The 26151-nt window shown below is 54.9% G+C and overlaps 2 protein-coding genes across 5 annotated transcripts in view, besides 8 other annotated features; both read left to right on the top strand.

The window, feature by feature from the left end:
* The window catches only part of BORCS8-MEF2B (BORCS8-MEF2B readthrough), a 46586-nt gene extending 20830 nt beyond the window's left edge, over window positions 1–25756 (top strand). For 2 of the 3 annotated variants that reach the window (NR_027308.2, NM_005919.4), the window contains 7 exons: window positions 20559–20641; window positions 21894–22097; window positions 23491–23625; window positions 24140–24287; window positions 24448–24581; window positions 24675–24768; window positions 25301–25756. Coding sequence is in view for 1 of the 3 variants with exons in the window: in NM_005919.4 (NP_005910.1) it covers window positions 20588–20641; window positions 21894–22097; window positions 23491–23625; window positions 24140–24287; window positions 24448–24581; window positions 24675–24768; window positions 25301–25629 (1098 nt within the window). In the remaining 2 variants the exon portion in view is untranslated. Of the gene's footprint in view, window positions 1–20558; window positions 20642–21893; window positions 22098–23490; window positions 23626–24139; window positions 24288–24447; window positions 24582–24674; window positions 24769–24938; window positions 25051–25300 lie in introns of all 3 variants that reach the window. The other variant, NR_027307.2, reaches the window with a different exon arrangement.
* Window positions 137–900: an enhancer, noted in NCBI's record as "H3K4me1 hESC enhancer chr19:19281232-19281995 (GRCh37/hg19 assembly coordinates)". NCBI's record gives its function as "activates a minimal SCP1, AML or CMV promoter by ChIP-STARR-seq in primed H9 embryonic stem cells {active_cell/tissue: H9 hESC(primed)}" and the evidence as "EXISTENCE:reporter gene assay evidence [ECO:0000049][PMID:30033119]".
* Window positions 901–1160: a silencer, noted in NCBI's record as "silent region_10435". NCBI's record gives its function as "represses an Ori minimal core promoter by ATAC-STARR-seq in GM12878 lymphoblastoid cells {active_cell/tissue: GM12878}" and the evidence as "EXISTENCE:reporter gene assay evidence [ECO:0000049][PMID:35858748]".
* Window positions 1060–25756, top strand: MEF2B (myocyte enhancer factor 2B). Of its 2 annotated transcripts, NM_001145785.2 has the most exons (9): window positions 1060–1118; window positions 20559–20641; window positions 21894–22097; window positions 23491–23625; window positions 24140–24287; window positions 24448–24581; window positions 24675–24768; window positions 24939–25050; window positions 25301–25756. In NM_001145785.2, exons 2-9 carry the CDS (start codon window positions 20588–20590, stop codon window positions 25524–25526), a joined length of 1107 nt encoding a protein of 368 aa, NP_001139257.1. In that variant the 5' UTR covers window positions 1060–1118; window positions 20559–20587; the 3' UTR covers window positions 25527–25756. The 2 variants fall into 2 exon arrangements, with proteins under 2 accessions (NP_001139257.1, NP_001354211.1); NM_001367282.1 differs by lacking the exon at window positions 24939–25050.
* Window positions 1381–1430: an enhancer, noted in NCBI's record as "active region_14340". NCBI's record gives its function as "activates an Ori minimal core promoter by ATAC-STARR-seq in GM12878 lymphoblastoid cells {active_cell/tissue: GM12878}" and the evidence as "EXISTENCE:reporter gene assay evidence [ECO:0000049][PMID:35858748]".
* Window positions 9950–10925: an enhancer, noted in NCBI's record as "H3K27ac-H3K4me1 hESC enhancer chr19:19271207-19272182 (GRCh37/hg19 assembly coordinates)". NCBI's record gives its function as "activates a minimal SCP1, AML or CMV promoter by ChIP-STARR-seq in naive H9 embryonic stem cells {active_cell/tissue: H9 hESC(naive)}" and the evidence as "EXISTENCE:reporter gene assay evidence [ECO:0000049][PMID:30033119]".
* Window positions 10375–10704: a silencer, noted in NCBI's record as "silent region_10434". NCBI's record gives its function as "represses an Ori minimal core promoter by ATAC-STARR-seq in GM12878 lymphoblastoid cells {active_cell/tissue: GM12878}" and the evidence as "EXISTENCE:reporter gene assay evidence [ECO:0000049][PMID:35858748]".
* Window positions 15263–15442: an enhancer, noted in NCBI's record as "active region_14339". NCBI's record gives its function as "activates an Ori minimal core promoter by ATAC-STARR-seq in GM12878 lymphoblastoid cells {active_cell/tissue: GM12878}" and the evidence as "EXISTENCE:reporter gene assay evidence [ECO:0000049][PMID:35858748]".
* Window positions 15663–15732: a silencer, noted in NCBI's record as "silent region_10433". NCBI's record gives its function as "represses an Ori minimal core promoter by ATAC-STARR-seq in GM12878 lymphoblastoid cells {active_cell/tissue: GM12878}" and the evidence as "EXISTENCE:reporter gene assay evidence [ECO:0000049][PMID:35858748]".
* Window positions 19557–19616: an enhancer, noted in NCBI's record as "active region_14338". NCBI's record gives its function as "activates an Ori minimal core promoter by ATAC-STARR-seq in GM12878 lymphoblastoid cells {active_cell/tissue: GM12878}" and the evidence as "EXISTENCE:reporter gene assay evidence [ECO:0000049][PMID:35858748]".
* Window positions 25757–26151: the final 395 nt, after the last annotated feature.

Raw genomic sequence — 26151 nt, 5'->3', positions numbered from 1 at the left:
ACTCCTACACATACTTGAAAGCCCAGCACAAATGCCCTCTCTTCTGAGAAACCCTCCCTGACTCCTCTGGCACAGCCCTTGCCCCAATTCTGGCCTGTCCCAGCCTCCCATCCCTCCTCTGGCCCAAGCCTGACCCCACAGGGTTAGGGGAGTGCATGGATCCCCTGCCTGCCCCAGACGGGCCGGGGGCTTCTCCAGAAGTGCCCATCCCAGAGCCATCTTTATCCTGTAATTCTTTTCACATTGATACATTCACCAACCCCTGCTCTGATCTTCCTGTGGGTCTGGCCTGTGCTGGGATCCCAGGGGAAGGGGTGGATTTAGAGTTCTGGGCTGGGGTCCAATCCTGGAAGGCCCCTCACAGCTGACCTTTGAAGTTTAGAAAACAGCCTTTAGCGGGGAGAGGTAAGGAGAGGGAAGTGGTTGGTGGAAGCAGTGTGGTTGTCTTGGACTGTGGAGGGGCAGGCGGTGCGGGCTTGAGGGACCAGTAGCTGCGGAGGGTCTGTCACTCCCTGTGGGAGCACATATCTGGCCCCAGGAGGCACAGTTGAGTGAGGCCACACAGGCCACCCGAGAGCCCCGTCTTGCAGTCTTTCCATTCTAGCGAGCGCGAGGGTCAGCGTTGCCTGCGAGAAGGGCTTGGTTCCTCGGGGCGACGGGGTCCGGGATCGGAGTCTATTTCACTCAGGATGGAATCAATCCAGGCAAGTTGGGCCGAGTTAGGAAAAGGTTTAGAATTAGGGTTAGGGTCACAGTAGGGTCAGGGGTCGGCAGTAAGGTCAAGGGCGCCCAGTGAGGGCGGGGAAAGCCTGGCCAGTCTGATCCAGCCCCCTCCCTCCGTTCTGCTTCTTCCTTATCCGCGCCCCCACCCATGGCGCCCCAGCATCCTTTCGCGTCTGAGTCCCAGGCCCATGAACTCCCGGGTCGGGGCCACGCCCAAGTGCACGCCCATCGCCGCCTCCAGGGTGACGCCCTGTATGCAAATAAGCCCGTCCCGCCCAATCAGCTCCCGGGGGCAGGACCGCCCGCTCCCAAGGCACCTGCGGCCGCGGGCCCCTGATCTTCGTGCAGCCGCCGCGGGTCCGTGCGCCCAGCGTCCCAGGGCCCAGGCCGAGCAGGTGCGTGTCATATCGGGTTGAGACTCCTGTGGTGTCCTCTGAACGGCTTCTGCGGGCTGGGTGGGTTTTGGAGGTCCGGGTGTACTGCTGGGCGTCCCAGGGTGGGGTGTGTGTCTAAAGGGGTGTGTGTCGTGGGGTGGTGAGTCCCCGAGGTTGTGGCAGGAGGGGGTTGTGTCTCCAAGGGGTGTGTGTCTGAAGGGTGTGGGTCTGGAAGTTGTGTGTCCAAGGGCTCTGCGTCTGAGATTTGGTGTGAGTTGGGGAGTTGGAGAGTTAGCTGTGTGTCCAAAATCATGGTGCTGTGAGGCCCTATTATGTGTCTGTGAGCTCTGTGATGTGGCATGTGATGTCCCTCTCTCCTGGTGTGCACTCCTTTAGCATTAGCGCATCCCCTGTGCACAACCCTATGCCTTCTTGCTGTGGGTGTACACTCGTTTGTCACAGCAGGATGGTAGGCACAAAACCTTGGAACGGGGGAGCAACAGCTGCCGGGGCCAACTCTCCTCCCTTTGCCTCAATGGGTACAGGAACAAGAGTCACATCCCCGTGTGGTTGTTAGCACATGACAAGGTGGTGGCAGCATTACTTTCACGGTCACAGTCCTCCCTCCCTATCTCTTTTGGGGTCCAGGGCTGCAGATATGGGTGACCTGTGTCCTTGGCCACCCTAACCCCTAGTTGCAGACCCAATTAGTCAGAAATAGCTGGCCGGGCACTGTGGCTCATGCCTGTAATCCCAGCACTTTGGAGGCTGAGGCAGGAGGATCACTTGAGCCCAGTAGTTTGAGACCAGCCTGGGCAACATAGTGAGACCCCCATTTTCTTTTTCTTTTCTTTTCTTTCTTTGTTTTTTTTTTGAGACAGGGTCTCATCCTGTCGCCCAGGCTGGAGTACAGTGGTGATCTTTGTTCACTGCAACCTCCAGCTCCCAGGCTCAAACAATTCTCCTCCCTCAGCCTTCTAAGTAGCTGGGATTACAGGCGCGTGCCACTACCGCCTGGCTAGTTTTTGTATTTTTAGTAGAGATGGGCTTTCACCATGTTGGCCAGGCTGGTCTTGAACTCCAGACCTCAAATGATTCACCTGCCTCAACCTCCCAAAGTGCTGGGATTACAGGCGTGAGCCCCTGCACCTGGCTTTAAAAAAAAATTTTTTTTGAGACAGAGTCTCACTCTGTCACCCAGGCTGGAGCGCAGTGGCTCAATCTTGGCTCACTGCAACCTCTGCCTCCCAGGTTCAAGTGATTGATTTTCTGCCTCAGCCTCCCGAGTATCTGGGACTACAAGCGTGTGCCACCATGACCAGCTAATTTTTGCATTTTTTGTAGAGACGTTGTTTCACCATGTTTGCCAGGCTGGTCTCATGTGATCTGCCTGCCTCAGCCTCCCAAAGTGCTAGGATTACAAGAGTAAGCCACCGCATCTGGCCAAAAAAAATTGTTTTTTTAATTAGGCAGGTGTGGTGGCTTATGTGTATAGTCCCAGCTACTCGGGAGGCTGAGGCAGGAGGATCACTTGATCCGAGGAGTTCGAGTCTGCAGTGAGCTATGACTGAGCTACTGCACTGCAGCCTGGGTGACAGAGCAAGATCCTGTCTCTAAAAGAAAAACAAAAAGAAAGAAAAGAAACAAAAAAATGGCCAGGCGCGGTGGCTCACACCTGTAATCCAAGCACTTTGGGAGGCTGAGGCGGGCGGATCACCTGAGGTCAGGAGTTCGAGACCAGCCTGACCAACATGGAGAAACCCCATCTCTACTAAAAATACAAAATTAGCCGGCCATGATGGTACATGCTTGTAATCCCAGCGACTCAGGAGGCTGAGGCAGGAGAATCGCTTGAACCCAGGAGGCGGAGGTTGTGGTGAGCGAAGATCGTGTCATTGCACTCCAGCCTGGGCAACAAGAGTGAAACTCCATCTCAAAAAAAAAAAAAAAAAAAAAAGAAGAAAGAAACAAAACAATAATCAAGGCCTCAGGCTAGCCTGGCCAAGAATCATCCCTGGGGAAGGGCAGGGCCCCTGGACCTTGGGCATTCGGGACAAGAACTCTCAGACTCTTGGAGTGAAGGAAACTGGATACAAAAAAGTATTTCGACTTCGGAGAACCAGTGTGTGAGGACTGATTTCCAGAGATGAAAAGGGCTTTCTAAAAAGGCAGGCTTGTTCCCTCATGTCCCCTTCCTGTTGTTCAGTAAAGGGGGAAGCTTGGCCTCCAGCAAACAGAATTTCAGGACAGTTAGGATCTTGGGATGTCATCTTAGAGAGCAGGAAGCTGGTTTGCAGGAGGGAAGGCTGAGGCCAGGTAGTAACACTAGGCCCCTCAAAAAAGGATGGAGCTCAAGGCCATGCCTCAGTCCCCCAAGAGAACAGAGGCTGGGGTCACGAGGCCCAGCTTCCTCTCCCTCCTCTCTGTGTGACCCCCCAACAGGTGGCTGCCCCTCTCTGAACTTTGTGGCAGCTCCTGTGAGCGGAGCAAGCTGAACCCACTCTTGGCTTTCCCATCCCAACGAATGATTTATTTGGTTAAACTATGACCCAACCAGGTGGACATCTGGAAAATGCAAATTAAGAAGAGAAGGGGAATTTAAAACATTTGCTCACCCCAACTTGGGTGCAGTGAGTGTAGACATGTTGGGTGTTTGGCCTTCTGGAAGAGGTTTCTTTCTTTCTTTCTTTCTTTCTTTGTTTTTGAGACAGCATCTTGCTCTGTTGCCCAGGCTAGAGTAAAGTGGTGTGATCTCAGCTCACTGCAACCTCTGCCTCCTGGGCTCAAGTGATCCTCCTGCCTCAGCCTCCTGAGGAGCTAGGAATACGCGCTCACACCAGCACACCCAGCTAATTTTTTTTTTTTTTTTTTTTTTGAGACAGAGTCTCACTCTGTTGCCCAGGCTGGAGTGCAGTGGCACAATCTCGGCTCACTGCAACCTCCACCTCCCAGGTTCAAGCGATTCTTCTGCCTTAGCCTCCTGAGTAGCTGGAATTACAGGTGCGTGCCACCATTCCCAGCTAATGTTTGTATTTTTAGTAGAGACAGAGTTTCACCATGTTGGCCAAGCTGGTCTCAAACTCCTGATCACAGGTGATCCACCTGCCTTGGCCTCCCAAAGTCCTGGGATTACAGGCGTGAGCCACTGTGGCCAGCCTGTGACCAGCTAATTAAAAAAAAAAATTATAAATATGGGGTCTTGTCATGTTGCCCAGGCTGGTCGTGAATTCCTGTACTCAAGCACTCAGCCCACCTTGGCATCCCAAAGTTCTGGGATTATAGGCGTGAGCCACCGCACCTGGCCCACTTATTTATTTATTTATTTATAGAGACAAGGTCTCCCTATGTTGCCCAAGCTGGTCTCGAACTCCTGGGCTCAAGCCATCAGCCCACCTCGGCCTTCCAAAGTGCTGGGATTAGAGGCATGAGCCACCACGCCCTGCCCTTCTGGAAGATTCAAGGCACAGAGTGGTCTAGAGACAGATGTCTTTCTGTCTTTCCTTGAGTGTTGCAGTCATGGCTCCCTGTGACCTTGAACTCCTGGGCTCAAGCCATCCTGTCACCTCAGTCTCCCGAGTAGCTGGGATTGTAGGGGAGTGCTACCTTGCCTGGCTTTTTTTTTTTTTTTAATTGGAGATGGGGGGGTCTCCCTATGTTGCTCAGGCTGGTCTTGAACTCCTGAGCTCAAATGGTCCTCCTGCCTCGGCCTCCCAAAGTGCTGGGATTACAGGCATGAGCCCAACCAGATGCCATTTTTCTGAGACGACTTAGAAATGTGTCTGGGATCCCTTTTGGGGTCAGGGAACTCGCCCCAGCCCTGGCCCATGATTCCCCATGGGGTGGGCAAGGAAGTTAAATCCCATTTCTCAGCCCCCAAAGGGCCTCTCTGGGGCTGTATCTTGGGGACTTGTGTGGTTACCCTGATACCCTGCGGCCCAGGATTGAGTTTCTTGGACCCTGTGACGGTGATTCTGGGCTGGACAAGCCCAGGCCCACTTCCCAGCCTGGGTGGGGGTGGTGAGATTGAGGTGCCACGTGATGGCCCTGGGGTACAAGCCCAGGATTGGGTGGGGATCTGGAGGTCTCACCATGTGGCCCTGGAAGAAGCCTGCCCACTCCTGTGCAAAACAGGGCAACTATCGCTGCTTCCCTGGGGTGTCTGGGGGTCAGGCAGGTCTTATATGTAAATGAGGCGGGGTGTGGGCCCGGGCAGACAGTAAGGGCTCAATAACAGAAGGTCCCATCTGGGCTGTGACCAAGTGGAGGTGTTTGTGAGCCCATCCAGGCCCCTTTCCTCTCTGCCCTCTGCCAGGTGCTGTTTCCCTCCAAGCCCAGTTTCACCCAAGGTCAAGGTGGGGCCTGAGGAAGGGAGAAATGGAGGTGGATTGTAATAAGAGTCATGGCTGCTGTGGGCATGGGCCTGCCTTGCCCACTGTTCCAACCTGTGGCCTGTGCCTGGTCCAAGCCCTACCATCCCTGGCTGGATGCTGGCCTGGCTTCCTGCTCCAACAGGCCACAGGGTCTTCTGAAAATTCCAAATCAGACCACAGTCCTCCCCCTCCTCACACACCTTCCATGGCTCCCTATTGCTCTACAGTCCACCCTCTCTCTGTCCCCCAATGCCTCTCTGACCTTCTCTGTCTCTGGCCACTCCTGGCTCACTCCACCCCAGATGTGTGGGGTTTGCCTGCTCCTGGAAGCCACCTGTTTAGCACAGTCCCACCTCAGGGCCTTTGCACCTGCCATTGTGTCCACCTGGCTCCCACCTCCCTGAGACACCTCAGAGACAGGGTCTTGCTCTGTCACCCAGGCTGGAGTGCAGTGGTGCGATCTCGGCTCACTGCAATCTCCGCCTCCCGGGTTCAAGCAATTCTCATACCTCAGCCTCCTGAGTAGCCGGGATTACAGGTGTGGTACCCTCCTGGATCCTCTGTCCAAAGCAGCTCTCTCCCTGCCACCCTCCACTGCCTCCCCCTGTTGAATTTCTTCCTTGAAGGCCGTCTTCCCAGATACGGTTATGTGGCTGCTGTTGCCTCCCCCATCAGACTGGGTGATGGGGGGAGGCCTTGCTCTGCCCACCCCCTGCTCCTGCATCCCCAGCACCTGAGGGGCTCCTAGACATTTCTGCGGGAAGATATTGGGGACTGACAGTGTCCTAAAGCCCCATCTCGGGGTCCCTGCTGGCTGCATCTTCGGGCTGCCGGGCTGTGGGCAGGGTCCCTTCTGCCCAGCGCTGACAGATGTGCTAATTTCCCAAGCAGGGAGGCTGGGGCATCTGGGGATCCATTTCTGAGGCCCCGCAGGGAGAGCTTTCTCTGGAACAAAGAGAGGAAAACCTTGGGCTGTCCCTGCAGCCACTACTGTGGCTTAGGGGACATCACTAGGGGCCTGAGAGGGCCTTAGACTCTAGCCTGCATGGGACAGCAGGGTCAAATTCAGACTGCGGGGTCTGTCTTGGCTCCATGGGCTGGGTGACCTCTGACTCCTGGGTTCAAGTGATTCTCCTGCCTCAGCCTCCTGAGTAGCTGGGATTACAGGCGCCCGCCATCATGCCCGGCTAATTTTTGTATTTTCAGTAGAGATGGGGTTTCACTATGTTGGCCAGGCTGGTCTCAAACTCCTGACCTCAAGTGATCTGCCCACCTCGGTCTCCCAAAGTAGTGGGATTACAGGCGTGAGCCACCGCACCCGGCCTGGAACAGGCCTTCTTGGCAGGTGAGGGTGCCTGTGCCAGGTCAGGTTTGCCATGGATGGTCACCTGGACGTGGTTTTCTCCCAAGCTGGGCAGTGGGACCTTCAGAGGGCCAGTTCCTTGGCCTGAGAGGAGCATCAGCACTGTCCAATTGGCTGTTTTGCTGTGAAGGTTGTTTAGAGGAAGGGCCACAAACTGGCAGCCTGTGGGCTGGATGGGGCCTTAAATTTGTTGTGTGGACCATGAGGTGTTTCAGTGAGAAGTGAACAAGTAGGGCCGGGCTCACGGCTGTAATCCCAGCACTTTGGGAGGCTGAGGTGGGTGGATCACCTGAAGGTCAGGAGTTCGAGACCATTCTGACCAACATGGAGAAACCCTGTCTCTACTAAAAATAAAAAATTAGCTGGGCATGGTGGGGGCGAGCCTGTGATCCCAGCTACTAGGGAGGCTGAGGCAGGAGAATCGCTTCAACCCGGGAGGCAGAGGTTGCGGTGAGCTGAGATCGCACCACTGCACTTCAGCCTGGGCAACAAGAGCGAAACCCATCTCAAGAAAAAACAAGTAGGGCTGGGTGTGGTGGCTCACCTCTATAATCCCAGAACTTTGGGAGGCCAAGGCAGGCAGATTGCTTGAGCTCAAGAGTTCAAGACCAGCTTGGGCAACCTAGTGAGACCCTGTCTCTACAAAAAATAAGATGTCAAAAAATCAAAAAATTAGCCATGTGGAGGGGCAGGCGCCTGCAGCCCTAGCTACTCGGGAGGCTGAGGCAAGAGATTGGCTTGAACCTGGGAGGCGGAGGTTGCAGTAGGCCCAGATTGTGCCATTACACTCCAGTCTAGGTGACAGACCAAGGCCCCATCTCAAAAAAAGAAAAAAGAAAAACAGAAAACTGAGCAAGTTGGCAGTGTTTCTTCTGTCTGTGAAGCAGTTGTTTGGTCGTTGATTCAAGGAAGGGTGATTGAGGGCCTTCTATGTACTAGGCGCTGGGAAGCCGGCAGGGCGAGATGCTCATCAAAGAAAGCAATAAAGAAACACACACCAAAAAGTCTGATAGGGCTGAGGTGCTGCAGAAAGAGTTGAATTTGGCCGGGCGTGGTGGCTTACACCTGTAATCCCAGCACTATGGAAGACCGAGGCAGCAGGATCACTTGAGACCAGGAGTTTGAGACCAGCCTGGGCAACACAGGGAGACCCCGGCTCTAAAAAAATACAAAAATTAGCTAGGTGTGGCGCCGTGCTACTCCCAGCTACTCCAGAGGCTGAGGTGGGATGATCGCTTGAGTCCGGGAGGGCCAGGCTGCAGTGAGTCGAGACCACACCACTGCACTCCAGCCCGGGTGACAGAATGAGACCCTGCCTGAAAAAATTAAAATAAATATTAAAAAAGATTGATGCCTCCAGAAAGAGCGTTTTCTGCAGGTCTTTAGAGGACATGGAGACACTCCTGGACTTGGGCAAACCTAGAAGGGTGTCCCGGGGTTGGACACAGTCCGGGCAAAGGGAGAGTGATGGGCAAGTAGGGAATCAGTTTGGGGCTGGTGTTGCAGATGCCCCCAAAGGGGCAGAAGGTGGGCTGGGAGTCTGCTGGTAGATGACACCTTTTCAAGTGAGGGGAGAGGTGGGTGGGTACATGGGGAGTTTGTGGGGACCCCTGCAAACACAGGAAACCGAGGCTCAGAAAGTATCACGCAGTGGGCAAGTGGCGGGTTTAGGATTTGAATCCTGGACTGACTGGCCTACAGCCCCGGCCCTGGCCTCTCTGTGCATGGCCAAAATGGGATCCTGGAGTGAAGTAGAGGGGGCGTCCCACAGAGGGTCCCACTCACCGTGGACTCCTGCCCCTCGAACAGGAGCTGTCCCTCCCAGGAGCAGGCCCAGGGAGAGGTGGGAAGGAGGGTCTGAGGGCTCCCCACTGGGCCTCACTTTCCCCATGGGTGCCAGAGGGACCTATGGAAAAAAGGACCCCCATGGGGCCTTCTCCAGCTGGAACATTCTAAGAATCCTGGATTCAAACACTACCCATTCAAATCTAGCCTCAGATGCCCCCAGCCTGCATTTCACCCCTGGTGGGTGGAGAGCACCCGGCCTTGGGAAGGCAGCCAGGCCTGTGTGGTGGCTCACACCCGTAATCCCAGCACTTAGGGAGGCTGAGGCAGGAGGATAACTTGAGGCCGGAAGTTCAAGACCAGCCAGTGTGATAAAATGAAGCCCCTTCTCTACAAAAATAAAAAAAATTAGCCTGGCATAGTCTGGTTAAAAATTAGGTGTGCGCTTGTAGCCCCAGCTGCTGGGAAATCTGAGGTGGGAGGAATGCTTAAGCCCAGGAATTGGAGGCTGCAGTGAGCTATGATGGCACCACTGCACTCCAGCTTGGGCAACAGAGCGAGACCCCATCTCAAAAAAAAATAATAATAATTAAAAAGAGGAAACCCAGCCAGGTATGGTGGCCTGTAATCCCAGCACTTTGGGAGGCCGAAGTAGGCAGATCACATGAGGCCAGGAGTTCAAGACCAGCCTGGCCAACATGGTGAAACCCTGTCTGTACTAAAAATACAAACATTAGCTGGGTGTGGTAGCGCATGGCTGTAATCCCAGCTACTGGGGAGGCTGAGGCAGGAGAATCGCTTGAACCCAGGAGGCAGGGGTTGCAGGGAGCAGAGAACACGCCACTGCACTCCAGCCTGGGTGACAAAGTGAGACTCTGTCTCACAAAAAAAAAAAACAAAAAAGAAGAAAGCTAGAGTGTGGGTGGTATCACTGCAGGGATGGGGGGGCCCTACCTATGTAATGGGGGACCAGCATGGATTGGGGGGAGTCTGCATATGTTTGGAAGAGTCTGCATGCGTCTGGCGGGGGTCTCCACATTGTTCAGGGGAAAGGGGTCTGTGTGTATTTGCGGGACGGCCATGTGTTTAGGGAGATCTGTATGTGTCTGTGCATTTGGGGGATTGGCATGTGTTGGGGCATCTGGGTATGTCTGAGTGTTTTTGGGGTCTGTCTATGCAGAGGGAATAGGATGTGTTTTGGGGATGTGTGTGTTTGGAGAGCTGTGTGGGTTGGGGGGTTTGGCGTATCGTGAACTGCATGTATTTTGGGGACTTTCGCAGGAGGAATACTTGTGTATTTGGGGGATCTGTTGTTTCGGGCATCTGTGGATTTTCTGCGGCTCTGTTTGGGGGTCTCCGTGTGTGGGGAATATTTCTACCTCCCATTATGCCCATACAAGGATGGAGTGACCCCCAACCCCATCCGCCCCTGTCCCTCAGCACTCCACCAGGGACTTTTTGGGGCCCGCAATCTGAGCTGGGTTCCCCCAGGATGGAGAGGTGACCCCAAGGCCTTCTGAGAGGCATCAGGACCCATCGACCACAAATCCTCCCCGCATCTGTAAAGCACCTTACTGTGAAGCCCCTCCCCCCAGTTCAGCGAGGTGGCCCCTGCTGCCCCCTGACTTTCTGGAGGAGGAAACTGAGTTCCAGAGAAGCTCAGCAACAGGGGAGTCACTGCCCGAGCCCACCGTCTCCCCTGAGTCCCTGAGGGCAGGTGCGGGGCTCCAGGGACCGCTGTGAACTGAGCCAGGCCGCCAGGTCACCTACATGCCCCCCCACCTGGGTACCACCTCCCTAGGCCCCCGGGGAGGAGGCGGGCCCAGGGCTCTGGCTGGGGAGGGAGGGTCGCCTGCAGCTGGGGTCGGAGCCGCTGGAGCCCCCAGGAGAGGGGAGGAGGGGTCCTGGCTTTCCAAGGGGCTCTTCCTGTCGCCCATAATGAGGTACTTGGGGAGCAGGTGATGAAACCACAGCCTGGGTTGCGTGAGGCGGGGCGGCAGGCCTGATTCGCTGCAGGGGCCGGGAGCAGCGCCCCCTCCCCGCTTCACCGCCTCCCGCGGGCCCTCACCCCCACCCCCACCCAACCCACCTGCCTCTCACTTCTCCTTTCCCGGCCTGGGTTCCTCTGCCAAGCCGTGGCCTCCCTGCGGGCTCAGGGGTCTGGCGAAGTGACTCTGCAGCTCATCCCCCCAGTAAAGTCCCGCAGGGGTGCCAAGAAAGGGAACTTGACTTGTTCCTAATCTTTTCTCTTAAACCCCTCTGCAAAGCCTGTGAGGTTAGGATCCTGTGACCCATTTTATGGGGGAGGAAGCAGGTGACTGATGACAGTATTTCAAGGTGGTCTTGCAGGATGCTGTACTGACTCAGCGCCCCCAGTTCCAAGGCCCAGACCTTCTTCCTTTTGGTTTCCCAGAAGCCAGAAGAAAAGTTCAATAGAGGCCCCCGTGTGGTGGCTCACACCTGTAATCCCAGCACTTTGGGAGGCCAAAGCAGGCGGATCACTTGAGGTCAGGAGTTCGAGACCAGCCTGGCCAACATGCTGAAACCCCGCCTCTACCAAAAATATAAAAAATTAGCTGGGTGTGATGGTGTGCACCTGTAATCCCAGCTACTCGGGAGTCTGAGGCAGGACAATCGCTTAAACCTGGGAAGCAGTGGTTGCAGGGAGCCGAGATCACGCCACTGCACTCCAGCCTGGGCAACAGAGCGAGACTCCATCTCAAAAAAAAAAAAAAAAAAAGTTCAGTAGACCCCTGCTCCCTACCCTCTTCCCAGCTGGTGGGAGAAGGATTCTCACCCCCAATTAACAGGTAAGAGAACTGAGTCCTACCACGCAGAGAGGCCAGAGGGGAAGGGTCAGTGGAAGGGTGGGATTCCCTCCAGCACCCCATCTCCATTACTGGGGGGCTAAGGGGCCTCGCCAGGCTGGGGAGATGATAATCTATGGCTTGAAGGACTTCAGGGTAATGTTTGTTGATTGACTTAGTGACCACAGATACTGCCAGAAAGTTTCTGATGCTTCCGCACTCCTGAGCTCTTCTTTTGTCCTCCCAATTCCCCCTCACCCCCACATCGCTCAGGCCTGGGATCACCAGGCTCCTCTTCTATCCCAGGTCACCAGCACATCCTGCACCCTTTGGTCACCACTTCTGCCCAGGTGCCACCCCTGTCTCCATTCAAACTCTGTATTTCCCACTGGCCCAGCCTCTTCCTGTCACCTCACTCTAGCCTGAACAGACACTGCTCCCCACAGCAGCCATAAGCAGCAAGGAGCTTTTTTATTTTTAGAGACAGGGTCTTACTCTGTCACCCAGGCTGGAGTGCAGTGGCCCACTCATAGCTCACTGCAGCCTCCATCTCCTGGGCTCACGTGATCCTCCCGCCTCAGCCTCCCAAGTAGCTGGGACTACAGGCAGGCACCACCATGCCCCGCTAGATTTAATTTTTTTTTTTTTTTTTTTTTTTTAGGCCACGCACTGTGGCTCACGCCTGTAATCCCAGCACTTTGGGAGGCCGAGACTGGTGGATCACCTGAGGTCAGGAGGTCGAGACCAGTCTGGCCAACATGGTGAAACCCCATCTCTACTGAAAATACAGAAATTAGCTGGGTGTAGTGGTGTGTGCCTGTAATCCCAGCTACTCAGGAGGCTGAGGCAGGAGAATTGCTTGAACTGGGGAGGAGGAGGTTGCAGTGAGCTGAGATTGCGCCACTGCACTCCAGCCTGGGCGACAAGAGCAAAACTCTGTCTCAAAAAAAAGAAAAAAAAACTTTCGAGTCAGTCTCACAATGTTGCCCGGGCTGGAGTGCAGTGACAGGATCTCAGTTCACTGCAACCTCTGCCTCCCCCTGCTCAAGTGATCCTCCCACTTCAGACTCCTGAGTAGCTGGGACTAAGGGGTGCACCACCACGCCTGGCTAAATTTTTTTATTTTTGTTTATTTATTTTTCTGAGACAGCGTCTGGCTGTGTCACCCAGGCTGGAGTGGAGTGGTGTGATCTTGGCTCACTGCAACCTCCACCTCCTGGGCTCAAGTGATTCTCCCACCTCAGCCTCCTGAGTAGCTGGGACCACAGGCATGCCACCACACTTAGCTAATTTTTTTTTTTTTTTCCTACAGACAGGGCTTTGCCATGTTGCCCAGGCTGGTCTTGAACTCCTGGGCTCAAGTGATCCTCCCACCTCAGCCTCCCAAAGCACTGGGATTACAGGCGTGAGCCACCGTGCCTGGCCTGGCCCTAGTTTGTTTTTTTTTTTTTTTTTAGGGGCAGGGTCTCACTATGTTGCTCTGGCTGGAGCTTTTTAGAAATCTTCCTTTTGGGCCGGGGGCGCCCATGCTCACGCCTGTAATCCCAGCACTTTGGCCCCTGAGGTGGGCAGATCACCTGAGGCCAGGAGTTTAAGACCAGCCTGGCCAACATGGTGAAAACCCATCTCTAGTAAAAATGCAAAAATTAGCCGGGCACAGTGGCAGGCACCTGTAATCCCAGCTACTTAGGAGGCTGAGACAGGAGAATCGCTTGAACTCGGGAAGTGGAGGTTTCAATGAGCTGAGATCATGCCACTGCACTCCAGTCTGGGTAACAGAGCGAGACTCCACTTCAAAAAAAAAAAAAGAAATCTTCCTTTTGAAATAAATCACACGAAGAAAAATGCACAAACCACTAGAGTTGAGCTCAACACATTTGCACAAACTGAACATATCTGTGTACCCAAACCTTGGATCCAGGAACAGGACTTCCCTAGCCCCTGGGACTTCCCCCTTGGGCCACTGCCTAATCACAGCTTCTGCCCAGGGTGACCAAAGTGCTGTCTGATATCCATCAGCCTCAGTGAGGGTTTTTTGTTTTTTGTTTTTTTTGACACAGAGTCTCGCTCTGTCGCCCAGGCTGGAGTGCAATGGCACAATCTTGGCTCACTGCAACCTCCGCCTCCTGGGTTCAAGCTATTCTCCTGCCTCAGCCTCCCGAGTAGCTAGGATTACAGGCACATGCCAGCACGCCCAGCTAATTTTTGTATTTTTAGTAGAGATGGGTTTTCGCTATGTTGGCCAGGCTTGTCTCAAACTCCTGACCTCCAGTGATCTGCCCGCCTTGGCCTCCCAAAGTGCTGGGATTACAGGCTTGAGCCCCTGCGCCCAGCTGCATCAGTGAGTTTTGATTGTTCTGAAACTTCATGTAAATAAAATCACACAGTGCATCTTCTCGATGGAGTCTGGGATCGTCGAATTGGCCAATGGTCTCTGAGATTCATCCACGTGGTTGTGTGCAGCGAGAGTGCACCCTTTTTCTGTGCTGTGCTATAACTGATCATAGAATCAACAAGAAAGTGTTGACCAGCTCTCCCATTAAGGGCTTCCAGGTTGATTCCAGTTTGAGGCAATGATGTATGAAGCTGTAGAAAACATTCTTGTCTGTGTCCTCAGGTGTAACTTGGACCCATTTCTCTTGCGTGAATATTGAACATCGAGGAGCGGAATTCCTGGGTCACAGGGTAGGCATCTGTTCAGATTTAGTAGATGCCAGAGGATTATCCAAGTGCTTGTCCCTTTTTCCTCTGCCACCAGCAATGCATGAGAGCTGGAAGTGGAAGAGCTTACAAGATCATCATCGCTCACTGTAACCTTGAACTCCTGGGCTCACAGAATCCTCCCGTCTCAGGCTCCCACATAGCCAGGACTACAGGTGTGTGCCACGGCGTGCAGCTAATTTTTACTTTTTTTGTAGACAGGTTCTTGCTGTGTTGCCCAGGCTGGTCTCCAATTTCTGGCCTCAAGCAATCCTCCCACCTCAGCCTCTCAAGTAGCTGGAAGTATCTGGGAGTAGCCAGGAGTTTGAGACCAGCCTGGGCAACACAGCAAATCGCCATCTCTATAAAAAGTTTTTAAAAATTTGCTGGGTGTGGTGACACATAGCTGTAATCCCAGCTACTCGGGATGCTGAGGCTGGAGGATCACTTGAGCCCAGGAGTTCAAGGCTACAGTGAGCTATAATTGCACCACTGAACTCCAGCCTGGGCGACAGAGGAAGACCCCATCTCAAAAACAAAAAAAGTGACTCGGCTAGATCCCGTCTATTTCAAAGATCTAAGTTCACTGAAATAATGCTGCACTTTCCTGTTCTGTGAGATTTGAGAAAATAGCTGTAAAACCACCTGGGCCTTTAAACATGTTTTTTAGTTATTATTTTAATTTTGAAATTATTATTCTTTTTTAGAGACAGAGTCTCACTCTGTTGCCCTGGCTGGAGTGCAGCAGCTCAAAGCTCACTGCAGCCTTGAACTTTATTGCCTTTAAAAAAAAAATTTTTTTTTTTAGAGATAGGGGTCTCGCTATGTTGCCTAGGTTGGTCTTGAACCGCTAGGCTCAAGCAATCCTCCCACCTCGGCCTCCCAAAGTGCTGGGATTACAAGTGTGAACCATCATGCCCAGCCCACTTTATTACCTTTTTAATGGTAGGTCCTGAGTCACCTTTCTAATCTTCTATGGTTGTTGGTCTACTTAAGCTTTCTACTTCTTCTGAGGTCAGCTTGGCTCAGTGACTTGCACAGGTTGATACTTAATAAACGCTAAGTATGAGGGTGCAATGAAAGGAGTAGGAAGGTACTGGACTCTTAGCTTCAAATTCCCACCTCCCTCCCCTTCTACTCAGGCTCCCATCCAGCCTCTGCGTCTACATCCAACTACATGCCTCCTCCCCCAAGAAGCTCTCCTGGGTTTCTTCTCCTGTTCTTTCTTCTGTGCTCCATTCCTTGGTCAATAGGTCCACCTCTGTGCTTCTGCGCTGGGCAGATGCCACAGCTCTCTGATTTCTGGCTGGACAAAGCAGGGAGGGTATGTGTGTGCGGAAGAGGCCTCCCCAAACCTCAGCTTCCCCCCTCGTGCCTGGCACATTCAGCCTGTGCTGCCACCTCCCCCAGCAGTTCCGATCACACCAACATCTGGAGAATGGGCCACCAGGGTCTGTCTGCGGCTCTGGGCAGGGATTTGCATGTGACTACAAATATACATGCACACTCTGGCCTGCCGCCTCCGCATTCTTTGCCTGGCCCTTCACACCTGGGCCCGAGACAGGTCAATGCTGAGTGGCTGGATTTGCATGTGCATGTATTTCTGGGCAGGGTATCAGCTGGGGCAGTCTGAGAGGAAGTTGTTGAGGGAAGCTGTAGGGTTGTGGAGGGGGTCAGTGACATCTCTGTTGATCTACTCTGCTCACCAAACCTTACTGTCCATTCCTGGCCCTGATCCAGAGGGGCTTTTAGTCTGGAGGAGACAAATCTGGATATATATACCCCCAATGCCATGGAATCTGACCTAGAGGAGGATGGTGACTCTGGGAGACCAGAAGAATGGCAGGGAGGACTTCCTAGAGGAATGGGTTTTTTGAACTGGGTTTTGACGTTTGGATAGGAGTTGGCTTGGTGAAAAAGGGGAAAGGGTCCTTCTAGTCAGAGATATTTATCGAAGAGAGAGAAGTAGGCAAGAGCTGATTTGGGAAGAAGACTTGAATGCCAGGCTAGGTGCTAGAACTTTCTCATAAGGGCAGTGGGGAGCCATGGAGAGTGTATGAGCAGGAGGGGGCCATGCTCAGAGCTGTGTTTGGTTGGGTAGATTCCCTCAGGGGCTAGAGTGGAGGATGGCTTTGGTTCCAATGTCACTGGGGTTCAGGAGAGTGAAACTCCTGCGTGAGTTCATCTGCACCTGTCAGGCCTGCCTCCAGAGTTGGTGTAGGGCCTGCTGGCTTCTGGAGGACTAACGCACCCTGGAGTACAGTGACTTAAAGTGCAAGGCACAGGCCTAGCACAGAGGGGGCCCTACCCCCAGTCTCTGTCAAGACGGACACAGCCCTTGCCTTCTCTCCAGCCGCCCATGATCTCCACCCTGGCCTCCAACAGACCTGCTCCCCATGGAAGCCATGAGCTGAGTCTTAAAATAATAAACCAAGCCCCATCCCTTCTCTGCTTAAAACCTTCTCATAGTGGCTCACGCCTGGAATCCCAGCACTTTGGGAGGCTGAGGCCAGCGGATCCCTTGAGGTCAGGAGTTCAAGATCAGCCTGGCCAACTTGGCAAAACCCTGTCTCTACTAAAAATACAAAAATTAGCCAGGTGTGGTGGTGCACACCTGTAATCTCAGCTACTTGGGAGGCTGAAGCAGGAGAATCGCTTGAACCCGGGAGGTGAAGACTGTGCCACTGCACTCCAGCCTACATGACAGAGCAAGCCTCTGTCTCAAAAAATAAAATAAAAGGCTGGGCGCGGTGGCTCATGCCTGTAATCCCAGCACTTTGGGAGGCCAAGGCGGGCGGATCATGAGGTCAGGAGTTTGAGACCAACCTGACCAATATGGTGAAACACCATCTTTACTAAAACTACAAAAATTAGCTGGGCATGGTGGCACATGCCTGTTGTCCCAACTACTTGGGAGGCTGAGGCAGAAGAATCACTTGAACCTGGGAGGTGGAGGTTGCAGTAAGCCGCGATCACGCCACTGCACTTCAGCCGGGGTGACACAGCAAAACTCCATCTCAAAAATATATATATATTAAAAATAAAAAATAAAATACAATAGGAAATAAAATAAAATATGCTCTCATAGCTCCACATCACTCTTAGACCAAAATCCACAGCCCTCCTCCAGCTCAGAAGGCCCACAGTGGGCCAGGTACAGTGGCTCACACCTGGAATCCCAGCACTTTGGGAGGGTGAGGTAGGAGGATCACTTCCAGCCAGGAGTTTGAGACCAACCTAGACAACATAGTGAGACTCCATCTCTACAAAAAGAAAATAAAAACTAGCAGGGCGTGGTGGCACTCACCTGTAGTCCCAGCTATTCAGGAGGCTGAGGTGGGAGGATTACTGGAGCCTGGGAGGTCAAGGCTGCAATGAGCTGAGATCTCACCACCGCACTCCAGCCTGGGCAACAGAGCAAGACTGTCTCAAAAAAATAAATATGGCCAGGCGTGGTGGCTCACGCCTGTAATCTCAGCACTTTAGGAGGCCAAGGCGGGCAGATCACTTGAGGCCAGGAGTTCAAGACCAGCCTGGCCAACATGGTGAAACCCCGTCTCTACTAAAAATACAAAAATTAGCGAGGTGTGGTGGTGCATGCCCGTAATCGCAGCTACTTGGGAGGCTGAAACGGGAGAATCACTTGAACCCGGGAGGCAGAGGTTGCAGTGAGCCAAGATCATGCCACTGTACTCCAGCCTGGGCGACAGAGTGAGACTCTGTCTCAAAATAATGATAATAATAATAAATTAAATTAAAAGAAGGAAACCCAAAAGAAGGAGTCCTAGAATGGCCCAACCTCTGTGGCCTCATCCCCACCCTCCCGCTGTTTCTTGTCCCTCCTCAGGGCCCTGGCACCTGCTCTTCCTTCTGCCTGGAACTCACTTTCTATCTCAGCTCTCAGGGTCTCAGTGCAGAGAGAGACTTCCCAGTTCTCCCCCATCACATGACCTCTGCCCTAGCCATGGTGTCTGTGTCTAAAATGGGGACAGACAGAGTGAGAAGGGGCTTGAGTCAGGTCTTCCAGGCTTAAGAGACTCAGGCCTAAGCCCCAGCCCTGCTGCTGCTCTCGTGGGACCCTGGGCATCAGGGGCATTTCCGGAGTCATCTTGGCCCTGGGACCTCCGGACCAAGGCCCCCGTCCACCCCCCAGGGACCCATCAGGGTGGGGGCAACATATCCCAGCCGTGGGAACAGGCCCGATTCCGGCTGGGGATTAAAATTAGCCCTGGAGGTTAAATTTAGCAAGTCAAGCCGGAGCTGAGGGTCTGGGACTGACAGCTTGGGCTCTACATAGTTGTGGGGGCTCAGAGACCCAGCCCAGAGAGGGCAGAGGGTGTGCCTGGGGTCACACAGCATGCCATATCTGCCAGCCGAGGTATCTAACACTTCTGGGCCCTGGGATAATGGAGGGCCTTGCCCAGACCGCTTGGGCAGGGGTCTGGGAAGCCCTGAGAACACTCCCAGAGAACAATCTGGATTTCTTTCTTTCTGTTTTTGAGACGGAGTCTCGCTCTGTTGCCCAGCCTGTCAAAATCTCGGGATCTCGGCTCACTGCAACCTCCGCCTCCCAGGTTCAAGGGATTCTCCTGCCTCAGCATCCTGAGTAGCTGGGTCTACAGGTGCCCACCACTATGCCTGGCTAATTTTTGTATTTTTAGTAGAGACAGGGTTTTGCCATGTTGGCCAGGCTGGTCTCGAACGCCTGACCTCGTGATCCACCCACCTCAGCCTCCCAAAATACTGGGATTACAGGCATGAGCTACCACGCCAAGCCAGATTTCTTTTTCTTTTTCTTTTTCTTTTTCTTTTTTTTTTTTGAGACAGAGTCTTGCTCTATCACCCAGGCTGGAGTGCAGTGACACACCTGCCTCAGCCTCCCAAGTGGCTGGGACTACAGGTGTGCGCCACGACAGCTGGTTAATTTTTGCATTTTTAATAGAGATGGGGTGGGTAGGATGCGGTGGTAATCCCAACACTTTGGGAGGCCAAGATGGGTGGATCATGAGGTCGGGAGTTTGAGACCAGCCTGACCAACATGGTGAAACCTCGTCTCTACTAAAAATACAAAAATTAGCTGGGCATAGTGGAGGGCACCTGTAATCTCAGCTACTTGGGAGGCTGAGGCAGGAGAATCACTTGAACCTGGGAGGCGGAGGTTTTAGTGAGCCGAGATCGCGCCATTGCCCTCCAGCCTGGGCAACAAGAGTGAAAACTCGTCTCAAAAAAAAAAAAAAAAAAATAGAGATGGGGTTTTAGCATGTTGGCCAGGCTGGTCTCGAACTCCTGATCTCAAGTGATCTGCCTGCCTCGGCCTCCCAAAGTGCTGGGATTACAGGCGTGAGCCACCGTGACCGGCCTGATCTGGATTTCTTGATAACTTGTTGCCAAGCCTGGTGGTGGGTGCTCAGCATTTCCTACCAGCCCATTCACAGAAGAGCAAACTGAGGCCTGGGGAAAGGGTCTTCTGTGCTGAGGGCTGCCCTGAGGGTCAGAGGGAAGGCCAGGCCTGAGCGTAGGTCCGCGTGACCCTGGAGAGGCCCCTTGCCTGAAGCCTCAGTCACCTGTGACATGGTAGAGGCTGGGAGGTGGAGTGTGGTCACACAGTTGGCGGAGCGGGGACGTCCCCTGTGGTGTCAGGGGACGTCTGTACAGAGGGCGGCGGCTGCAGGACAGGCCACATGATTCGATTGTTCCCAGGAACCTCGAGTGGGGGTCTCTGGGGAAGGCCTGGACCCCAGCATAGTCCAGCAGTCTCCTCCTTCTGGGACCCCTACCAGGGCGATCTCACATCTCCTTGAGTGGGGTACAGGATTTCTTCCAAGTCACCAAGTGGATGCCAGGCCCACACCCTGGCCCAAGGACTCTGAGCTGGAGGCCTTTCCAGAGTGTGCCTGCATCCTCCTGCTAGAGCAGGAGGCGTTTCTATTATTCTGTTTTCTTTTTCCTTTAAAGACTGGGTCTCTGTTGCCCACGCTGGAGTGCAGTGGCAAGATCATAGTTCACTGCAGCCTCAACCTCCCCAGCTCAAGTGATCATCCTACTTCAGCCACCGGAGTACCTGGGACTATAGACGTGTGCCACCATGCCTGGCTAATTTTTGCATTTTTTGTAGAGCCGGGGTTTCAACATGTTGCCCAGGCTGGCCTCAAACTCCCAGGCTCAAGTGATCCTCCTGCCTTGGCCTCCCAAAGTGCTAGGGATCACAGGCATGAGCCACCATGCCCCATTTGGTCTAAACATGTTCATTGAGCCTCTACTGCATCCTAAGGCTGGCCGGGGGCGGGGTCTGCGACAGTGACCCAGCCTGCCTTGATTTTCCCCATCATCTTCCTCTCAGTGGCTGGCAGGGGCAGACAGAGGAGAGGTGTGAGGCTGGGGTACCCCTCCCCACTCTCCACCCACTCACTCTGTCCTCTCCCTCTTCTCCTCCTAGACAAAGATCATTCCACTCAGCCTGGGACGATGGGGAGGAAAAAAATCCAGATCTCCCGCATCCTGGACCAAAGGAATCGGCAGGTGAGTTCACTGGGTGGAACAGTGGCTGGGAAAGACATTCCTAGCAGGGGGCATGGCCTAGGCAAGGGACTGACCTGACCAATTGAACTGCAGGGGAATGAGGAGGCATGAGGAGTCCTGATGCCATGTCAGCCTTTCTTTTTTTTTTTTTTTTTTTTGAGATGAAGTCTCACTCTGTTGCCCAGCCTGGAGTGCAATGGTGCAATCTCAGCTTACTGCAACCTCTGCCTCCCGGGTTCAAACGATTCTTCCTCAGCCTCCTGAGTAGCTGGGATTACGGGTGCGCACCACCAAGCCCAGCTAATTTTGCAGTTTTAGTAGAGACGGGGTTTCACCATGTGGGCCAGGCTAGTCTCGAACTCCTGACCTCGTGATCTGCCCGCCTCGGCCTCCCAAAGTGCTGGGATTACAGGCGTGAGCCACCGCGCCTGGTCTGTCAGTGTTTCTTGTTTCCCCTCCCTCCCTCCTTCCCTCCTTCCTTCCTTCCTTCCTTCCTTCCCTCCCTCCCTCCTTCCCTCCCTCCCTCCTTCCCTCCCTCCTTCCCTCCTTCCTTCCATCCCTCCTTCCATCCTTCCTTTTTTTTTTTTTTTTTTTTTTTGAGATGGAGTTCACTTTGTTGCCCAGGCTGGAGTGCAGTGGAGCGATCTCGGCTCACTGCAAGCTCCGCCTCCTGGGTTCAAGTGATTCTCCTGCCTCAGCTTTCCGAACAGCTGGGATTACAGGCGCCCACCACCACGCCTGGCTAGGCTAATTTTTGTAGTTTTAGTAGAGTCAGGGGTCTCACCATGTTGCCCAGGCTAGCCTCGAACTCCTGACCTCAATCAATCCTCCTGCCTGGGCCTCCCAAAGTGCTGGGACCTCAGGCTGAGCCACCGCACCTGGCCTGCTCATTTTCATGATCATTATTCATTTATTCTCCCTGATGACTGGAACCCCAGCCATAGGGGAGATGGAGCTTGACACAGCCACACCTAACTCAGAGGGCCAGAACAGAGGGAGGCCCAGAACTGGGAAAGCCCAGAGAGAGCATGTGGACTCTGCCTGGGAAGCCAAGGCACACTTCCCAGACATTTGGGCTGGGTTTTGAAGCTCCAGTAGGAGTTTGCCAGGTTGTGACATGAGAATTACCAGCTCAGCCAGAAAGAATCCTGAGGCATGTTCGAGGAAGGGTTAGGCCCTGCCAATTCCCCTACACCACCCCACATTCATCTCTTCTTCTTCTCTCCCCTGCCCCTGTGGGTCCTGGGTCCAGGTGACGTTCACCAAGCGGAAGTTCGGGCTGATGAAGAAGGCCTATGAGCTGAGCGTGCTCTGTGACTGTGAGATAGCCCTCATCATCTTCAACAGCGCCAACCGCCTCTTCCAGTATGCCAGCACGGACATGGACCGTGTGCTGCTGAAGTACACAGAGTACAGCGAGCCCCACGAGAGCCGCACCAACACTGACATCCTCGAGGTACCCCAGGTCCTCCTCCCCAGCCCCACAAGGCCCCGTGCACGCTGCTTTCTCAGAGCCCAGGGACTCTTGGTTTGCACAAAAGATGAGTGTCTTCATCTGGCTTTGTGGCTGACGTGCTTTATTTCTGCTGTCCCTAGAAGGGACCCTCCACTCATCCAAACATTTGGGAGTGGGGGAGCCCTTCTGGGGACAGCAGAAATAAAGCACATCGGGCAGGGCACGGTGGCTCCCACCTGCAATCCCAGCACTTTGGGAGGCCGAAGTGGGCAGATCACTTGAGGTCAGGGATTCTAGACCAGCCTGGCCAACATGGCAAAACCCAGTCTCTACTAAAAATACCCAAATTAGCCAGGTGTGGTGGCTCATGCCTCTAATCCCAGCTACTTGGGAGGCTGAAGTAGGAGAATTGCTTGAACCCGGGAGGCGGAGGTTGCAGTGAGCCGAGATCGAGCCACTGCACTCCAGCCTGGGCAACAGAGCAAGACTCTGTCTCAAAAAATAAATAAATAAATAAATAAATAAATAAATAAATAAATAAATAAGACAGAGGAGTCTTCACTGGGATGGGAAGCTAAAGCCTAAGGGCTGCAGAGAGCAGCGGGCTGGGACTAGGCCTGGGAGTCCGCAGTGTTTTGGAAGTGTGGGGCAGAAGTTGGCAAAGAAGAGGTTGGGGTCCGGGAGCATGCGGTTCTGTGGCCCCAGGAGAAGGCAGCTCAGGAAATCTGCTGGCGTTTCTTAAGCAGTTTTTTTCTTTTTTTGAGAATGAGTCTTGCTTTGTCGCCCACTCTGCAGTGCAGTGGCAAAATTTCAGCTCACCGCAACCTCCGCCTCTCGGATTCAAGTGATTCTCCTGCCTCAGCCTCCCAAATAGCTCTGACCACAGGCATACGCCACCATGCCTGGCTAATTTTTATATTTTCAGTAGAGATGGAGGTCTTACCATGTTGGCCAGGCTGGTCTCAAACTCCTGACCTCAAGCGATCTGCCTGCCTCGGCCTCCCAAAGTGCCGGGATTGTAGGCGTGAGCCACCGCGCCCGGCCTCTTAAGCAGCTTTTGATGCCAGGCTATGAGGCTGCAAGTGGGGGCAGAATGGAGGTCCTGGAGTCATGTCAGGAGCAGCATTAGGACAGCGCCAACAGGCCTGCATGGATCTCAGCTCCTGCTGTGTTGATCTGGGCAGGTCCTTGGGCTTTTCGGTCCCAGGGGAGGAAACTGCTAGCTGGTAACTCACCGGGGTTTGGTCAGTGGGGTTTGGCTAGAGCAGGCCATGCCTGCATTCCTCCCCACTCATGGAGCTGGGTGGGGATGGTCTGTCCCCTCTCCCATAGAACTGGGTTCCCTGGGTGGGGTAGGGGTAAGGGTCTACCCTGTTGTCTCCTGTCCCCATAGACGCTGAAGCGGAGGGGCATTGGCCTCGATGGGCCAGAGCTGGAGCCGGATGAAGGGCCTGAGGAGCCAGGAGAGAAGTTTCGGAGGCTGGCAGGCGAAGGGGGTGATCCGGCCTTGCCCCGACCCCGGCTGTATGTAAGTGACTCCCTGGCCCTGTGAATGAGGCATTCCTCCTACTTCCTAGGCCCAAGTCGTTGAGGCTGGTACTGAGAGAGGGGCTTAGAGCCAGGGATCCTAGAGTTTGGAGGCAGGTCTCTACCTGGTTGGTCAGGAAAGGCTTCTTTGAGAAGTGGGCACTGTAGCTGGGGCTTTGAAGGATGAATAAGAGTTCAACAGGCAAACAGTTCCTTCCTTCATTTCATCTTTGATTCATCAAACACTCTGTGCAGCCCCCTCAGTGCCAACTCTACACTAAGTGAGAGGTCTTGGCTCTGGACCTACCTGTCAAGGACAGGCAGAGCCAGACAGAAGCTCCCCCAGCCTGTAGGGTTAGGGCAGGGGGAGGAGCAGGTAGGGAGCCTGGTGGGAGGTGGAGCAAAGGCTTCCTGAAGGTAGAGCTGGGCCCCTGAACTCATCAGGATTTTCTCCCTTGGACTTGGCACCCCCATCTGGCCTGGGGTCCTCTGACCCATCCCTTCTCTACCCACAGCCTGCAGCTCCTGCTATGCCCAGCCCAGATGTGGTATACGGGGCCTTACCGCCACCAGGCTGTGACCCCAGTGGGCTTGGGGAAGCACTGCCCGCCCAGAGCCGCCCATCTCCCTTCCGACCAGCAGCCCCCAAAGCCGGGCCCCCAGGTGAGCATGGGACAGTGGGGCAGGGGTGAGGTCCTGAGGGGCTGTTTGGGTGCATCTTGGCTCTGGCATTGCCAGGCTGCGTGCATCACCTCTAAACCTCAGACTTCATTAGTTGACATGGCCTGCCTGTCCTCTCTCTCTGGGGTCTCCTCTTCCCCAGGCCTGGTGCACCCTCTCTTCTCACCAAGCCACCTCACCAGCAAGACACCACCCCCACTGTACCTGCCGACGGAAGGGCGGAGGTCAGACCTGCCTGGTGGCCTGGCTGGGCCCCGAGGGGGACTAAACACCTCCGTGAGTGAGGGGAGGGTGTGGCAGGGCTGATGAGGGCAGGCAGGGCGACCTGGGTGTGGGCCTCAGTTTCCCCTTCACCCTCTCTCCGCACAGAGAAGCCTCTACAGTGGCCTGCAGAACCCCTGCTCCACTGCAACTCCCGGACCCCCACTGGGGAGCTTCCCCTTCCTCCCCGGAGGCCCCCCAGGTACATCCCCTAACCTGCCCTGCCCCACCTGGGAAGCGTCCGCACTCCTGCCCTCTGGGGGTTCCACACCCTCCCACCCACCAGAACTCAAAACTGTCACTGGGGGTGGTTAGGTTTGCAGAAGGCTTAAGGAGATGTCCAGGCCTCAGCCCCCAATTCCTGCCCACCAGAATATGGCCTGGGAGACCCTCCACCGCCCCCTGGCTTGTTGCAGCCCCCCACCCTGGCCCCCTGGCAGCCCTCGAGGGGTGATGGGCCCCCCGCCGTGTCCTCCCAGCCCAGGTAAGTGCCCTGAGACGACGGCAAGTCCCAGTCCTCCAAAGCCCCGGCCGCTGCTGACCCCTGGTGGCCATCCCTGGTACTGCGCACACTTCCGGTACGGATGGGCAGCTATTTTGAGGCCCCAAGAGGGACCGCCACCCCCTCCTTTCCCAGGGTCCTCCTGCCAAGCCTTTGCCCACGCTGTGCCATCCCCTGGCTTCCTTCCCTTCCTCGCTGAGCTCACGGCCTCCCTCTCTCTTTCCCCCTGCAGTGGGGGCCGAAGCCTGGGCGAGGAGGGTCCCCCAACCCGCGGCGCCTCCCCGCCGACCCCCCCAGTCAGCATCAAGTCTGAGCGCCTCTCTCCGGCCCCCGGGGGCCCCGGCGACTTTCCTAAGACCTTCCCCTATCCCTTGCTCCTCGCCCGGTCCCTGGCAGAGCCTCTGCGGCCTGGGCCCGCCCTGCGCCGGCTGCCCTTGGCCGACGGCTGGCCCCGGTAGGAGATCACCCGGTGGCACCAGCCCAGAGCGCTCGCCAGGTACGGCGAGGGCACGTGGGGACCCCACCTCCCTCCAGGCCTCTTCAGAGAAGACCCAACAGTGACGCCCCCCTCCGCGGTGGGGGCTTGGAGGTGGGCGGCTGGACTCAATCCACCCTGGGGGGCTCCTTTCCTTCTTCCTATTTGTGTGTATATCCACAAATAAAACGCGCGTGGCGTCCGTGGACCAGACTGACTGTGACTCGCCTCATTCTTGCCTAGTCTTGGCTTGGGGTGCCCCCTCCAGAAGCCCTGAGACGAGGACTCAAGAGCCCGTGGGGTGTCCGGGAGGGCTGCCAGGTGGAGGGTTGGGGAGGCAAGGCGGGAGGAGCCCTGCAGGGGACGCGCACAAGCAGAGGGTGCTTAGCCCGCGGGGGGTTCTGGGGACAGCATAGAGTGAGCGTGCACCTAGAATGGTCCCACTCCAGGGGTGAGGGCCCCGGCTCTTTCCACTCCAGGGCCAATGGCCAGGGCTGCTCCCGGCGCTGTGGGTCATGGGCTCAGGGGCAAGCCCTAGGGCTGGGTCGTAGGGCTCCCAAAAGCAGCAGCTGGGAATCCTGAATGTCGGGCTCCCAGGGCGCTGGAAG

Source organism: Homo sapiens, chromosome 19 (assembly GCF_000001405.40).
Source record: "Homo sapiens chromosome 19, GRCh38.p14 Primary Assembly".
Taxonomy (NCBI): Eukaryota; Metazoa; Chordata; class Mammalia; order Primates; family Hominidae; genus Homo; species Homo sapiens.
This window is presented reverse-complemented; position numbering and strand designations above follow the sequence as displayed.

What these genes read in the sequence shown, in the direction of transcription:
- MEF2B (NM_001145785.2), top strand. Translation starts at nt 20,588, where the DNA reads ATGGGGAGGAAAAAAATCCAGATCTCCCGCATCCTGGACCAAAGGAAT. An exon ending in CCAACACTGACATCCTCGAG is followed by an intron (nt 22,098 to 23,490) that starts GTACCCCAGGTC and finishes CTGTCCCCATAG; the next exon opens with ACGCTGAAGCGGAGGGGCAT. An exon ending in GAGGGGGACTAAACACCTCC is followed by an intron (nt 24,582 to 24,674) that starts GTGAGTGAGGGG and finishes CTCTCCGCACAG; the next exon opens with AGAAGCCTCTACAGTGGCCT.